Here is a 16,412-nt window from a genome sequence, read left to right as displayed (position 1 = left end):
GCTACAAACCTGTATGGCATGGTACTGTACCAAATACTCTAGGCTACTGTAACACAATGGTAACTATTTATGCATCTAAACATATCTAAACATAGAAAAGATACAGTAAAAAATATGGTGTAAAAGGTAAAAAATGGTACACCTTTGTAGGGCACTTACCATGAATGGAGCCTGCAGGACTGGAAGCTGCTCTGGCTCAGTCAGTGAGTGAGTGGCGGGTGAAGGTGAAGACGCGGGACATTACTGTACACGACTGTAGGCTTTATAAACATTGTATACTTAGGCTACACTAAATGTATAAAAAATTCTTTCTATAATAACAAGTTAACCTTAGATTACTGCAACTTTTTTACTTTATAAACTTTTTAATTTTTTAAACTTTCTGACTCTTTTATAATAACATTTAGCTTAAAACACAGACACATGATATAGCTGTACAAAAATACTTTCTTTATATCCTTATTCTATAAGATTTTATTCTATTTTTAAACTTTATTTTCTACTTTTTAAACTTGTTTTTTTTGTTAAAAATGAAGACAAAGACATACATACTGGAGAGCCTAGCCTAGGCTAGGCTGCCATCTGTAGTGGCAGCTCTCCCCAGACACAGCACCCCACTCAGGTTAGTAACATGGGGGTCAATTGAGCTACACACATCCTCCATACTCAGTTTAACTGGGCTGACTTAGGCCACCTGCCTACTTCTGGATCAGGAACAATCTTCATAAGTTCCTATGCCAGTTATTGGCAAACTGTGTGACCTTGCGTAAGTCACTTAACCTCTCTGTGCCTAAGTTTTAAAAAATATGTCAAATTGACATATCTGCCTTATACTGGTGTTGTCAGAATTTAATGAATGGTGGTTAGCTTAGATCAGCTATTTTTCAAACCAACTGCAGCAGCCTAGTGCTAAGTCATGAAGTAAATTTAGTGGACTGTGACTAGCTTGAAAACCAAAAAAACAAAACAAACAAAAAAGATAAGACTAGAGCACATTGCATATGATAAAGGTAAATATTGTTTCATGAAACTCTTGTTTACATTTTGTATGTGTTTTTATGTGTATTTTGTTGTGATAGAAAACAATTAATACACTGCTTCATGAAAAAAAGTTGAGAAACATTAGCTTGAGCTAATGAGGGTGAATGGCTGAGGCTGGAATCATTCCTTTAATCAGGGCATTGTGAGGAGAGAAGGAATAGATGGAAGGGAAAAATAAAAATTGCAAACCCCTTCTGTGGGGTTTACCAAGTGCCAGGCATTGACTTAAGAGCCTTAGGTATATTACACAGCATTGTTGGAGATAGACAACTTTAGCAACCCCATTTTACAGATGAGAAAACTGTGGGAGAGAAGTTAAGTAACTTAGCAATGCCATGTCGTTAGTAGTGGTGGAGCTAGGTTCAAATTCTTTGATGTTGTCTCCAGCCTAAGGCCATGTAGAAGAGTCCATGGAAGGGAGGGGTTGGAAAGAATATCAAAGAAGGGCATTTCATGATTACAAATTGGTCTTTCCAAAGCTGTGTTCCTAATAATAGCTACTGTTTGTTCCAAGTTGTATATTTAGTCAGACTATGTATCTGGAGCTGCTGTAACAAGGTAACATAGACTGGATGGCTTAGAAAGAACAGACATTGGGGCCGGACACTGTGGCTCATGCCAGTAATCCCAGCACTTTGGGAGGCCAAGGGGGGTAGATCCCAAGGTCAGGAGTTCAAGACTAGCCTGGCCAACATGGTGAAACCCCGTCTCTACTAAAAAAATACAAAAATTAGCCGGGCATGGTGGTGGGCGCCTGTAGTCCCAGCTACTCGGGAGGCTGAGGTGGGAGAATTGCTTGAACTGGGAGGCAGAGGTTGCAGTGAGCCAAGATCACGCCACTACACTCCAGCCTGCGTGACAGAGTGAGACTCCGTCTCTAAAAAAAAAAAAAAGAAAAGAAAAGAAACATTGATTTCTAACAGTTTTGAAAGCTCGAAGTCCAAGATCAGGGTGCCAGAATGGTCAGGTTCTGGCGAGGGCCTGCTTCTGGGTTGCAGACTGCTATCTTCTCATTATATTCTCACGCGGTGGAAAGAGGGTGAGAGAGCTCTCTGGGGCCTCTTTTAAAAAGGGATTAATCCCATTCACGAGGGCTTCACTGTCATGACCTAATCACCTCCCAAAGGTCTCACCTTCTAGACCATCACCTTGAGGGTTTCAACATACGAATTTTGGGAGGACACAGACATTTAGTCCACTGCATCATGTTATCCTCAAAAGACCTTTCAGCACATAGTCAAGTTTTTCAAAGGCTCTGAGTACAAGTGGGGTGACACTGGTTGGAGACTAACATAATTTCCTTTAAAACACATCTCCGTTCCCCTGAGGTGTGGGAGGTAATGTTTTCATGATGCATCCAGAAACACACAGTACTAGCCACTGAGAGCATATGGGAGAATGGAGGGAGGGCCCGTTTGATTCTGATGTTTAGAAGATACTCTGATCTCTTTCTGGGGTATTTGGAAGGGAAATGGGAGGACTGAACAAAGTGACCTTCACATGCCCTGGTATAGGTAGGAGCAACAAAGAAATACCCTGAAAGAAGCCTGACCTCATTTTATACAGGGTCATCTTGGCAGGCTAATCTAATACAGTAGAGGAAGAATTTTTAAAAAGAGTCCCAAGAGGGCTAATAAAATGGCTTTGAATTTCATTATGTTTGAGAGAGAGGCACTAATTCAATTAGCCACAAAATAAGCATTTTTCTACCCCTTCTGTTCGAAGCAGTTCCGAAGATAGACTGCATCCAAGCGAACGCTGAGCTGCCTTTTAAAATAGTCTTCCTCCTAAAGACAAACAGTCCTTGTCAAAATTTATCCATCTCCTGAACTGTTACTTTCTTCCTCTGTGAAATGCAGATAATGATGGTGCTAGTTCACTGGTTTGGTGGGAGGATTATGCATTTAATGCTCAGCACTGGGCACAAAGTAGCCACTCAATAAATGACAGCTATTGTTATTAGTTCTTATGGCAGTGGTCTTGCAACCACAAAACAACAGAGACTTTCATTTTTCTTTGGAAGATCTTTCCTTTTTCCCAGTGTTTTTATTTTTCGAGGCTTCGAGGATCTTAGTCAGTGACTATAGGGACAGTACATGGGAGAGAATAAAAAACAAGGATAAATGATATTTCACTTGAAATGCACAGCAGAGTTTAAAGGGAATGGAGGAATAGAAAGAGGTAAAGTTCGCTCTGTCAGACTTTTCAGAGAATTAGGAAAAGATACCAGTAAAATAGATTAATTAAACTACACAGCTATGCACGGTGGCTCACTCCTGTAATCCCAGCACCACGGGAGGCTGAGGCGGGCGAATCATCTGAGGTCAGGAATTCAAAACCAGCCTGGCCAACATGGTGAAACTCTGTCTCTACTAAAAATAAAAAAATTAGCTGGGCGTGGTGGTGCACGCCTGTAGTCCCAGCTACTTGGGAGGCTGAGACAGGAGAATTGCTTGAACCCTGGAGGTGGAGTTGCAGTGAGCCACGATTGGGCCACTGCATCGCAGCCTGGGCGACAGAGCAAGACTCTGTCTCAAAAAACAAACAAACAAAACACTACAGATATATTCATTCACTTGCCATTTACTCATATTTACATATTGAAGTCTGGTGTATTGGTCGGCTTAAGCTAAGGTATTCTGGAGTAGCAAATAATGCCTAAATCTCAGTGGCTTAGAACACAGGTTTACTTGTTGTATGAGATGACAAGATCTAGAAACTACTTGTCTGAATTATTAAATATTTATTGAATTCCTGTTTGTCATTCTTGTTTTTGTGGGGTAGGGAATCATAGATTTTTAAAACATGGCTTCTGGTCTTTGGTAGTTCATTGTAGTGGCAGAAATTATATAGCAGAAGGTCACCTATCCAATGCAACTGGGATTTGGAGTCTGTCGGTTAATCCAAAATAATGGTGTAAGATTATACCCAGAACAAAAATACACACGTCTTTCAGATCAAATATCAAAACATCTTTCCATCGTAAACCAATTTAGTCATGATAAGTCAGCACCACTTGAAAGAGGTAGTGGAGAAAAGCAAAGAGATACTGGAAAAATGAAGTTGCTTTACAGTCGAATAAATATATATTGTCATTTCCATAGAGCACAGAAAAAAAAAGAGAATGCTAGACTGAGATTATATGACAAAGAAACAGTCATTCCTAATATAAAGCATCTTTCTCAGGCTCTTGTAACAACATTTTGTAGGATTTGTAATATGGTGATGAAAATTATTTCTTTGTGTTTAAATTGACGTATAATTGTATATGTTGATGACACAACACAATGTTTTGAAATATGGATACATTATGGAATGGCTAAATCAAGCTAATTAACATGCGTTACTACACATGCAACATTTAATTGTGGTGAGAACATCTAAAATCTACTGTCAGTAATTTTCAAGTATATAATACATTGTTATTAACTATACATATGGTAATTTTTAATTTGCGTGAATGCTCCTTAATAGCAGGGACCCTGTCTTATTTTTTGTACTCCGTGGCACCAAATCTGTTCTTAGTACAGTGCTCAATAAATGTTTGATGAGCATATGAAAGGATAATTTAATATAACATTAATTATGTGAGTACAATAATATTCAAAGAGTCAGTTCTCCTTTCTACATGTTTAGCTTTCTCCCAGAGACAGATTTAGGCTTTGGGAGATGGGAGAATCTACCTCGGCTGAATTTCCAAATGACGTGGCCAGCTTTCTTAAAAATGCATTTCTATTCCATTCCATTACGTACTTTGTTATGATCTTTGGCTGTCTTTTTGAACCTTATGACAAATCCTCATGGAGCACATATCTTTGAAAAGGAATGTGTGCCAAGAAGAAGAGAGACAGAATTCCACATGCCACCCCAAGTCTTTTTTCTTTTTTCTTTTTTTTACTGTCTAGAAGGTCAGCTAGAAACCCCAGTTTTGTGGGGAGGAATTTTTCCACATCTAAAAAGTACTGCAGAACACATCAATCCTATCTCCAGGTTTTTCCTAGAATTTATTTTTTCCCTTATCGGTACATTTAAACCCTGCTGTTTCCAGTGTATTTATTTGCGAAATGGATTTAATTCTGTTCCTGTAAAGGCTTTAGAAAGTCTGTCAGGGGCATATAGGGGCACGCAATGCTTAAGAATGATGTTAAAAATTTAAAAGTGATTTATTTGACCCTGAGGCCAAATGGCACAGCCTGCAAATGTGATAAATCTAGCAAATAAATAAACGTAAATACCTGTGAGGAGGCCACTGGCCAATAGGCAGCTCTGCAGTTGGCATTTAGTTTTACAAGAGCACTTGTTAATCTCACATGCTCAGGACAGTTATAAGAGTTTCATTTCCTCCCTAGACCTTAGTGCCTCCCAGGTGTGTGGAATAGAACACTTTATTTGAGCCTGGAATTGTGAATGTACTCCCTATAAGAAGATAACTTCATGTATATTGATATCACCAGTAGGGGTTTATTTACCTTGAAGTTAGGAGCCATGACTTACACAGCTCTTTGCACAGAGCTTTTTACACAGTATGTATTCTACAAACATGTATTAAATGAATGAATGATTGCTGTATCTCCAGCACTGGGCACAGTATTTAGCACATGGAAAGCACTCAATAAATGATTGTCACATAAATAAATAAATAAATAAAAGAATTGTGCAAATCACAGTGTCAGCAGGTATTTCTATCTTCAATACTCTTGCATATCAGAGATAGGCAATATTGAGGTCTTTTTGGTGGCTTATTGTTATTATTTGAAAAATTCAGTGTTGAAAGGTACTGAGATAAGGTGCTAGACTGTGGAAGGGGTGGGAGGATGAATGACTAGAGAGAGAAAAAAGAGCAAAATTAAATGTCAAGCTTGCTTGCTTTTCTTTCTTTCTTTCTTTCTTTCTTTCTTTCTTTCTTTCTTTCTCTTTCTCTCTTTCTCTTTCTCTCTATTTCTCTCTCTCTCTCTCTCTCTCCCCTCCCCTCCCCTCCCCTTCCCTTCCATTCCCTCCCCTTCCCTTCCCTTCTCCTTCCCTTCCCTTCCCTTCCCTTCTCCTTCCCTTCCCCTTCTTTCCTCCCTCCCTCCCTCCTTCTTTCTTTCCATCCATCCACACACACATATATAAAACTAGCTGTTAAAATTCATTAATTAGGACGGGCGCGGTGGCTCACACCTATAATCCCAGCACTTTGGGAGGCTGAGGCGGGCGCTGGGAGGCCGAGGCGGGTGGATAATGAGGTCAGGAGTTTGAGACCAGCCTGATCAACATGGTGAAACCCCATCTCTACTAAAAATACAAAAATTAGCTGGGTGTGGTGGCACGTGCCTGTAGTCCCAGCTACTCTGGAGGCTGAGGCAAGAGAATCGCTTGAACCTAGGAGGCAGAGGTTGCAGTGAGCTGAGATCACGCCATTGCACTCCAGCCTGGATGACAGAGCGAGACTCTGTCTCAAAAACAAAACAAAACAAAAAAATTTCACTAATTAATGTGGAAAACTATTAAATCTACCTTCCTGTCTGTCTCTATCTTTATCTATGTGTGTTTGGACCCTTCTCCTGAAGCAAGACCCCATAGTTCAACTACTGTTGGGCATTTCCACTTGTATGCCCACAGACAGCCTAATCTCTGTCATTTGTCTTTGAGGGCTGAGCAGTTGGTTTGTCATTTAAGTCAATGGTTTGTTTCCATCTCAGGATCCACCTTGGACAAGGACTTCTCTATTTCAATGACCCTCCCTGACCCCTGTTTTATATAAAAATTTTAATGGGGTCCTTCCTAGGCATGTTGCAGAAGTTATCTATGTAAAACCTCTTACCACCTGTTCTTCCGCTCAAAAACTTTCAATAGCTTCTCATTATTTATAGGTTAAAATTCAAATACTCCAGCCTGGTTTTAAGATCCTGTGTAACCTCCCTTTGGAACTGTCTTTACTCTATTTTCAAGCCCCCTTCCACCAGGTTTGCCCTTGCTCACCCCTGAGAGGCTGCTGTTCTTTCCATTTCTCCCCAATGACCCTCACTGATCACCCTGCTACATGCCAAGCTCTTATATAGCATCTCATTTGTTTCTTCACCTGTTTACTAGATGCAGGAATGCCACCCACCTCCCTCTCAGCTGAGCTAAATCTTAATCATCCTTTAAGGCCCATCTCAAATCCTTCCTTCTCTGAGAAGGCTGCCTTGACAATTCCAGTCTATAGTCCTTCCTTCTTTATTTGAGCTCATCCCTTCCAAATTGTATACTATATTTTTTAATGTTTCTCTTTTCTTCAAATTGCACTGTCTGCTTCCATGGGGGAAGAATTCTGTCACAGCCTTTTAATGCTTTTTTAGTGCTGATTGCTCGGTGAAATCACTTATTAACTGTGGGCTAATTGATTGTGTAAATACTTTCAACAGTTTGAACCTCATTATTTTCTAAATTTGTATGACTTTAACAATCAGAAAAATGTGCCACCAAGGCACAAATTATCTCTCATACTAAAAATGTAATTATCAGGATCCGTGCAGACATTTTTGCACATGGCCATTTAAAACATACATTCACCCTTTTAACTCTCCTTACCCTTTTATTTCTGGAATGCTGGTAAAAAGACATAGCATGAAAATTAGTCTACTTCGGAGACTTGAAAAGATTGAAGAAAAGTCTGCCCAGGACTAAGTCTTTCTCTTGTCTTTTGTGGAATAGTGGAAGGCTCTTAAGGCAAGATCCTTTATCTCGGCAGGCTAGTCACTTCTCTCCATCGACTAACTGTGCGAGCTTGGATAAATCTCCCAGCTGCTTGTGGTTCATTTTCCTCAGCTTTAAAAAGGGGACGATACCACCAGCTAGGCCTGAGATCGTGTAATGCTCAGGAAAATTTTTTCTAATTTTTTTTTTTTTAATTAGAGAGAGGGTCTTACTCTGTTTCCCAGGTGGTCTTGAACTCCTGGCCTCAAGTGATCCTCCTGCCTCAGCCTCTCAGAGTGCTGGGATTACAGGTGTGAGCCACCATGCTGTTCCAGGAAAATGTTTGAAAACTGTAAAGTACAATTTTGATGTTAGGTTTTATTGTGGAAACTGTCAAATTACCATCTCTCTTACCTTACCACCTTTGTCACCATCTGCCATCAACCCAGTCCTCAAGATGGGAAATGTCCACTGGAGCTGATGACCTCTTATAGGAGCCAGCAATATGGCATTTTCCAAGTGTAAATGGTTCATATGCCATATCTTTTTATTTTGGTATGTTGCAACTTCCGAGAAATTGAGTGGGGCCGATCATTTCTGTCTCTTGCTGCACTGCGATCCCTTCTGGTTTTGTGGCTCCAGCTCCCACTGCTGCAATGGGCTTTTGGATAATAGAAATGTCTCTTTGGAATCGTTAGAGAGTTTTAGTTTAACATTGTGAACAGCTGGTCCTGATGTACCATATTTTGTTGAACCTACAATACCATCAATTGTAAAACACACCATCATTTCATAAATCACCAGGAAAGGCAAAAGTGCTGCCAACTTTAAAGCATGACACACTGCTGATTACAAGATGCACCCCTATTTCAGAGTGACTAAAATATGAAAAATGAGTGTCTGAGAATTGGTCAAATTACAGCAAGATTATTGCTGCAAACATCTGCTTTGAGTCCTCTGAGCCCGGTCATGGCAGGTGCTGGAGTCTCCCTGCTCCCTGCCCTTGCCTCAACCTCCATTGCAGCCATAGCACTGCTGAGCACCCCTATGCTAAGCTGCAACTGACTGGCCTCTTGCTTCTCCCAGGTCTTTTATTCTGTGAAGGCAGTGGTGGAGTTGCTGGTGGAGACTAAGCAGAGGTGTGCAAAGAATGCAAAGCCCAGGAGATGGGATGCTTTCTGTTATGACCTGGCAATGCCTCCTTCAGTCTCCTTGTTGCTATGATAAATCTGTAAGGTTACGGTAGGAAGTTGCCCCAGAGGCAGTCGCTTCCAGCTCCGAGGAGCCACGTTGCCTGGCTTATATGTTCTCTTTTTTTTTTTTTGAGACGGAGCCTCGCTCTGTCACCAGGCTGGAGTGCAGTGGCGCAATCTCGGCTCACTGAAACTTTGCCTCCGGGTTCAAGCGATTCTCCTGCCTTAGCCTCCCAAGTAGCTGGGATTACAGGTGCATGCCACCACACCCAGCTAATTTTTGTGTGTGTGTGTTTTTTTTTTTAGTAGAGACGGGGTTTCACCATATTGGCCAGGATGGTCTCGATCTCTTGACCTCGTGATCCACCCACCTTGGCCTCCCAAAGTGCTGGGATTACAGGCGTGAGCCACTGCGCCCGGCCAGCTTGTATGTTTTCTTATCCAGAGGCGCTAGAAGGTCAGGTGCCCATTTGAATTTTTTCCCAGGCCCAAGGAGCTCTTATTTGGTAAGCGTTCATCTTGTAATTACAGATGGGAGGCTGAGAAGTCTCCTTATTTAGTACACCTAGGGGTCATTTTAATTTGGGTTTTACTTCAGGAAAAATAAGGTTCATCTTAGGTTACTTTCAAAGTGACAAATAACCTGATGCCCTGGCCTTGGGCCTAAGAGCAAAGTGGTTTTCTTTTTTCTCTGAGATAGAATCAGGGCTGGAGGGGGGCCAGAAGGTTCAAAGCTATTTGAAGCAAAAGGCATGATCCCTGCCCTTGTATGTAGGGAGGTAGGATCACCCAGGTTCTCAGGTGTCACCACCAACTGCAGATATTTCAGCACCTCTTTTCCTCCAAACGTCTTGGGTTTCAGACAGGGAGGTAACCAGACCCTTCACATTTGCTACAGTAATGCTGTTTCAGGCCTTGTTCCTTGACCTTAGAAATCACCTGCTCCTCTTGAGGTATTTTCACCCTCTGGGGTGAGACATCTACTATCCAGATTTTGCTAACAATATTGGGAATAATTTCTAGCTCAAACTCGTCATTGTTTTGTGTGGATCTTGCTTTGGCTAGCAAAGTATGTCATTCTATTGTGGCTGTAGTATTATTGGCTTAACTTACATGATGGATTGGAAGGTCCTGTTGGCATGGTAAGAAGTTACCCCACAAGCAGACCCTTCCAGCTCCACGGAGGCATGTTGTTGGGCTTATATGTCCTCTTATGCTGGAAGACCAGGTGCCCACTTGAAGTTTTTCCCAGCCCTGAGTAGCTCCTATTTGGTAAGGGTTCATCTTGTGACATGTGAATTTAGGAGGCTGAAGATAAGAGGTTTTAATCTCTTCATAGTCTTTCTGTCCACTCTGTGTCTCTGTTCTCTAACCACTTAAGAATGGGGGACTTTCAGAGGCTTTCCAGTCCTATATCAATCAGTCCAAACTCTTCAGCATAACACTCACAGCTGTACTAGCCAGGACTTTTTTAGCTCAAACTAGCTCAAGGCAAAAGGGCATTGAATGACTCATGTAACTGAAAAGTCCAAGGAAGGATCTAGAGCTTCAGGTGTAGGTGGGTCCAGGGGATCACATAATGCTCTCAGGGCTCTCTCTGTCTTTTGCTATATCTTGGTTCCCGGTTCTTCATTGTCATAGCTTCATTTTACAGACAACATCTTTCTAGAAAATGGGAAAGATAACTGCTAACATCCTCAAATTTATATCCTTTCAACCTCAGATAAAACAGCCATTTCTTTCTTCTGATATCCTTACATTAATCCAGAAAGCCCTGAGTGACCCTGCTCTGATCTTGTGTTCACCCCCGGACCAGTCGTTAATGTCTGTTCTGATGATCTTTGTCATTAACGCCTGTTCTAATGATCTTCGTCTGAGCCACGTGCTCACCCCCATGACTGTGGGTGTCTGGGCAGTGATGATATCCTCTCTGGGACTGCACACAGTGAAGTAGCAGCTCTCTAAAGACAGTATGGATGGTAGACAGACAAACACCAGGTGTTCTCTATCAAGGTCTTTTACTCCTTGGCTCTTTCTACTTGCCCAGCTCCTCCTAGGACTTCCCTAGACTCATACCTACCAAACACATTGGACGACTTCATGCGATGAAAACCTGCCTTCATCTTAACAGCTTATTTTCTTTACTTTCTATGCTGTTTGGATTTTTTTTTCTTTCTTTCTTTCTTTTTTTTTTGAGACGGAGTCTCACTCTATCGCCCAGGCTGGAGTGTGATGGGGCGATATCGGCTCGCTGCAAGCTCCACCTCCCGGGTTCACTCCCTTCTCCTGCCTCAGCCTCCCGAGTAGCTGGGACTACAGGCGCCCGCCACCATGCCCGGCTAATATTTTGTATTTTTAGTAGAAATGGGGTTTCACCATGTTAGACAGGATGGTCTTGATCTCCTGACCTTGTGATCTGCCCGCCTCGGCCTCCCAAAGTGCTGGGATTACAGGCATGAGAAATCGTGCCGGCCTTGGATTTTTTTTTCTTCCCCTTCTATACTTACCAAAATTTTTCTCAGTCTTCGAGGCTTAATCAAAATGCTGCTTCCTTCAAAACCCTTACCTATACTTCAAGTTCTTCCACTTTGCCACCAAAGGATTTGGCTGATAAAACTTTTAGAGAGTTTGTTTATCCTCCCCTCTATTTGGAGTTACTTGTTTACATGTCTACAATGTCAAGATTGCTCTAAGCATCTAGTAATCTCATAGGAGATAGGCAATAAACATTTGTTGGTTGGAGAAGCATTCTTCCAAGGTCTTTTTTTGAGAGGATTCAATGTATTAAATCTACCCAAATGCACGCGCGCACACACACACACACACACACACACACACACTCAGGCTCCATATATATAATATCTGCTTAATGATACACACATAGGACTTTTGTATATTCCCAGTAATACACTGGGAATAACACTGTTAGCTTAGTTACAAGCACATTGTCTTATTGGTGACTTTTTAATCTCTGGGTTAGGGAGGATGATGAGTTGTGAATGGGGTTGTGGGAGAAAATCTATCAAGTGAAAAAACCTGGGTGTGCTGTAGGAATGAATGCAGGACTGACATGCATCCTCCGTGGAGAAAGAGGAAGAGCTAGGGGAAGGAAGTTGAGCATAATGGCAAGAATGCAGCCTCCAGGTTAGAATTCAGGTTCTGCTACTTGTTAGCTATGTGATCTTGGACAAGTTGACTAACGTCTGTGTGCCTCAGTCTCTTCTTTGTAAAGCAGTGATACTAGAGTATTTATGTTATAGGACTATCGTGAGAATAAAACAAGATAATGCATGTGGAATACTTGACACAGTACCTGGCTTCTAACAGGGGCTCATGTAGAAGCTTGGCTCCCCCAGCCTCAGAGCCAAGGTACAAGTAAGGTACCTGTTTTTTGTTTTTCAGGGTAGTCATGTCAGTCACATTGTGTGAGTCTATACTGGGAATGCATTAAAGGACACTCTCAGTTGTGACTGTAGCTACCTGGATAACAGTGTTACTGTCTAATGACCAGAATGATGGATGCACTGAGAGGGTGGAATATGTGGGTGGTTAGAGGTCAGTTATCTCAGTTGAGAGCAACACTGGCAGCAGCAGTTTTTATTTCCACTGCATCTGAAATGTGCAGTCAGCCTGCAGAGCGAGGGGCAGAAGCCCCCTTTGACCACATGACACCCAGTGTGTGGAGGATCCCCTGTCCCTGGTTGAAGGGTCTACCGGTTGAGGGAAGGAAACCAAGCCATTTTATGAATAAACTCTGTGCCTATTTATAATAGCATAATTGTAGACGCTACAGGAAAGGAATCCCAGAATAGAGTCCACTGCTAGGTGAGACAACTCCAGGAACTCTGCTTTTTATTACCCCTTTTATGATGCCCATTATCCCCTGTATTCAAATGCTTTTCATGTTTGTATAGAACAGCTACAATGCTTCACGCGGACCAATGCATATCCCATGGCGAGGAAGACACATATGTGATTCATTTTCTTCAGGATGAAGTTTAAGGATTTACCTAAGGACCCAAGAATGTTGTGAGGTAATTTTTCAAAGCGCAACAGGTGGTGTGGTGATTATCGATTGGCAAGCTCACCTTGTCTTCCACTAATTGGCTATGCGTTTGCATTTCCAACCAGTGACCTACCATGTTAATAATGCGATGGAATCTTTAAGGAGGCAGAGGAATCAGCACTGCTTTACTAGTAAACAGATGGCTGTGAACATGCATATTCCCTGTGCAGCAGTTCTGGATACCAGGAGAGACGCCCTAACGAGCCAAATCTTCCCTGAATGATAGATTATGTGGGCATAGGGTCAGGTTGGGGGGCACTTTAATTGTTATCTAGGCAGGTGAGCCATTTTACCAACGAAGAACCAAAGAAGCAACACTGACTGTCCACAACTCCCAAAGCACTTTATTTTTCTTTTCACATTAAGATTTATCACATTGCATTGTGATTACCTGTGTATCTATCCCTCTGTATCAGGTCAGAGTCTTTCTGCTGCAAGTACTGAAAACTCAGCTCAAATTATTTTCATCAAAACAAACAAACAAACAAAAAAAAGGACGCTATTGACTCAGTAACCAAATGTTTAGTTGGCTCCAGTCTCTCCATTTCTCAGTCCCACCTTCCTCCACACTGGCTCCATTGTTCTGGCATGCTTTAACTGGTGAGGACAAGTGGCTGCCACTAGCCTAGACATAGATTGTTACAGCTCCAAATCCAGAGGGGAAAAAGAGGACCTTCTCTCTGCCAGACTGGTTGAGATGGGCTCAGAAGCACTCCTGAACCAATCTTGTGGCTCTGATTGGCTGGGCCTAGGGTAGATGCCTATGAAGCTGTGCATGGAGTCTGTCCTATCTAAACTGTAATGACTGAGACTAGGAGGAGGATAGGTCCGCAAATGATATTTGGGGAACCATTATTAGAAGAAGGAAGAATGGATGCTGGGTAATGCAGAAAAAAAACCATTGCCCTCTCTGCCTAGAACTTGAGTTTTCCTGTAGAAGAACAACGTCTGAGGCTGGGCGTGGTGTCTCACTCCTGTAATCCCAGCACTTTGGGAGGCCGAGGTGGGCGGATCACGAGGTCAGGTGTTTGAGACAAGCCTGGCCAAGATGGTGAAACCCCGTCTCTACTAAAAATTAAAAAAAAATTAGACAGGCATGGTGGTGCGTGCCTGTAATCCCAGCTACTCGGGAAGCTGAGGCAGGAGAATCACCTGCACCCGGGAGGCAGAGGTTGCAGTGAGCCAAGATCGTGCCACCGCACTCCAGCCTGGGCGATGGAGTGAGACTTTGTCTCAAAAAAAAAAAAAAAAAAAAAATACAACTGCCTGGTGCTCATGCCCAGAAGTGGATATCCTTACATTAATCCAGAAAGTCCTGATTGACCCTGCTCTGATCTTGTGTTCACCCCCGGACCAGTCGTTAATGTCTGTTCTAATGATCTTCATCTGAGCCACATGCTCACCCCCATGACTGTGGGTGTCTGGACAGTGATGATATCCTCTCTGGGACTGCATACAGTGAAGGAGCAGCTCTCTAAAGACAGTATGGATGGTAGACAGACAAGCACCAGGTGTTCTCTATCAAGGTCTTTTACTCCTTGGCTCTTTCTACTTGCCCAGCTCCTCCTAGGACTTCCCTAGACTCATACCTACCAAACACATTGGACTACTTCATGTGATGAAAACCTGCCTTCATCTTAACAGCTTATTTTCTTTACTTTCTATGCTGTTTGGATGTTTTTTGTTTTTGTTTTTGAGATGTAGTCTCGCTCTGTCGCCCAGGCTGGAGTGCAGTGGCACCATCTCGGCTCACTGCAAGCTCCGCCTTCCAGGTTCACACCATTCTCCTGCCTCAGCCTCCCGAGTAGCTGGGACTACAGGTGCCCGCCACAATGCCCGGCTAATATTTTGTATTTTTAGTAGAGTTGGGGTTTCACCGTGTCAGACAGGATGGTCTCGATCTCCTGACCTCGTGATCCGCCTGCCTTGGCCTCCCAAAGTGCTGCGATTACAGGCGTGAGCCACCACGCCCGGCTGGCTCATGATCTTCTCAAGTAGGCCCCTGTGTGTGTTGTTCCCCTCTTATGTCCATGTGTTCTCATCATTTAGCTCCCACTTATAAGTGAGAACATGCGGTATTTGGTTTTCTGTTCCTGTGTTAGTTTGTTAAGGAAAATGTGGGCTGAATTCTTAGTGCGGTGCTGTCTCTTCCATGCTGTCCCCTATTAGTGACATGGTTGTTCTAGAAAGGTTGGGAATCATCTATGTTTTTAGCATTTTATCCTTTCCATTTAAATCATTTATTTAGAGAAAATATTCCAACTTAGCTGTTCAAAGTCAGAAATTGCAAAGTTTTTGGTTTGGGCCAGTGGACTTAGGCAAATTGATTGGCACTTTGGTAACTCTTGGGTAACTTATTGATATACCAAATCTGTAATTATAACAGGGAGCCAACTGGCTAACCACGTGTGCATTGCATGCCTCTGATGAGCCTCCTCAGCCTCTCTCAGCTCTGTCCCCAGGCTCTCAGCTGCTCACCCTACTCAGCTCCTGCTGTGTTGAAACTCTGTGGGGACCCATGTCTTTCTACAGCCTGATGCCATTTGGTTAACACACCTGAGCTCCCGGGTTCTCCCACATTCTCCCAAACTTGATGAAATGACACTCGGCAGGGCATCGGCTCTGTCAGAGGGGCCAGATGGTGCAACCTGGAAGTGTAGGGACATAATTCCCTGTGGTATGTGTTTTGATCAATGGCAAACAGGAGATGGGAGGGAACCTGGAGGACCAATTCCCTCTCCTTCCTTCCTCAGTGGACTCCTGCGTCTCTTTAGGCCCATTGTGAAGTAATGGCCAGCATATTCATGCATCACTTTGCATTGCTTTTTATCCTTCCCTGCTTCACTTCTCTTTCTTTCACTTTAATTGCTCTGGGATTGCACCTCCCATAGAAAGCACTGGGATGGAATTCCTGCTTCAGCTCTGTTTTCTAGGAGAACTGGGCTAACATAGGATTATTTTGTTTTCATATGACATTTTCTCTAAAAGCTGCTGAAAAAATTTTTAAGTTCAATCATCTTGATTTGCTCTGATAAAATAGCATTTCTATTTCTCTGTAAGATGGATAAACTGAGGCACATAGAGGATGCAACTGTTCAAAATTACAGGCTTAATCATGGATCCATTGAAACACAGAATCCAGGTTTTCTGTCTTCCCATCAGATACTCTACACCCAATCACATTTTAGGTCTGGGTCTGCACACACAAAGTACAGAGAATAATTGGGACAATTATCCTAATCATTCAAGCCAAGCAACCAAACCTAAAATAGCTGCATAATTGAACTCAATGTTTCCATTTCACATTGGACCTCTGAAAACAGCCAAAGACAAGTTACTAGAATCTTGCCATTATGTTGTTATAAATGCTACTGGAGTTAGTGGGTATGTATTTTTAAACAGTTGATTCCATGTCTTAAAATATTTTGCCTTCTGTGCCACATTCCTTTGCTTTT

At 42.5% G+C, this 16,412-nt stretch overlaps 1 long non-coding RNA gene across 6 annotated transcripts in view; it reads left to right on the top strand.

The window, feature by feature from the left end:
* Positions 1 to 16,412, top strand: part of LINC03007 (long intergenic non-protein coding RNA 3007) — a 196,819-nt gene that overhangs the window by 14,443 nt on the left and 165,964 nt on the right. The gene's annotated exons all lie outside the window — the stretch shown is intronic.

Source organism: Homo sapiens, chromosome 7 (genome assembly GCF_000001405.40).
Source record: "Homo sapiens chromosome 7, GRCh38.p14 Primary Assembly".
Lineage (NCBI taxonomy): Eukaryota > Metazoa > Chordata > Mammalia > Primates > Hominidae > Homo > Homo sapiens.
The sequence above is the reverse complement of the archived record's forward strand: the minus strand, read 5'-3'. Positions and strand labels throughout refer to the sequence as shown.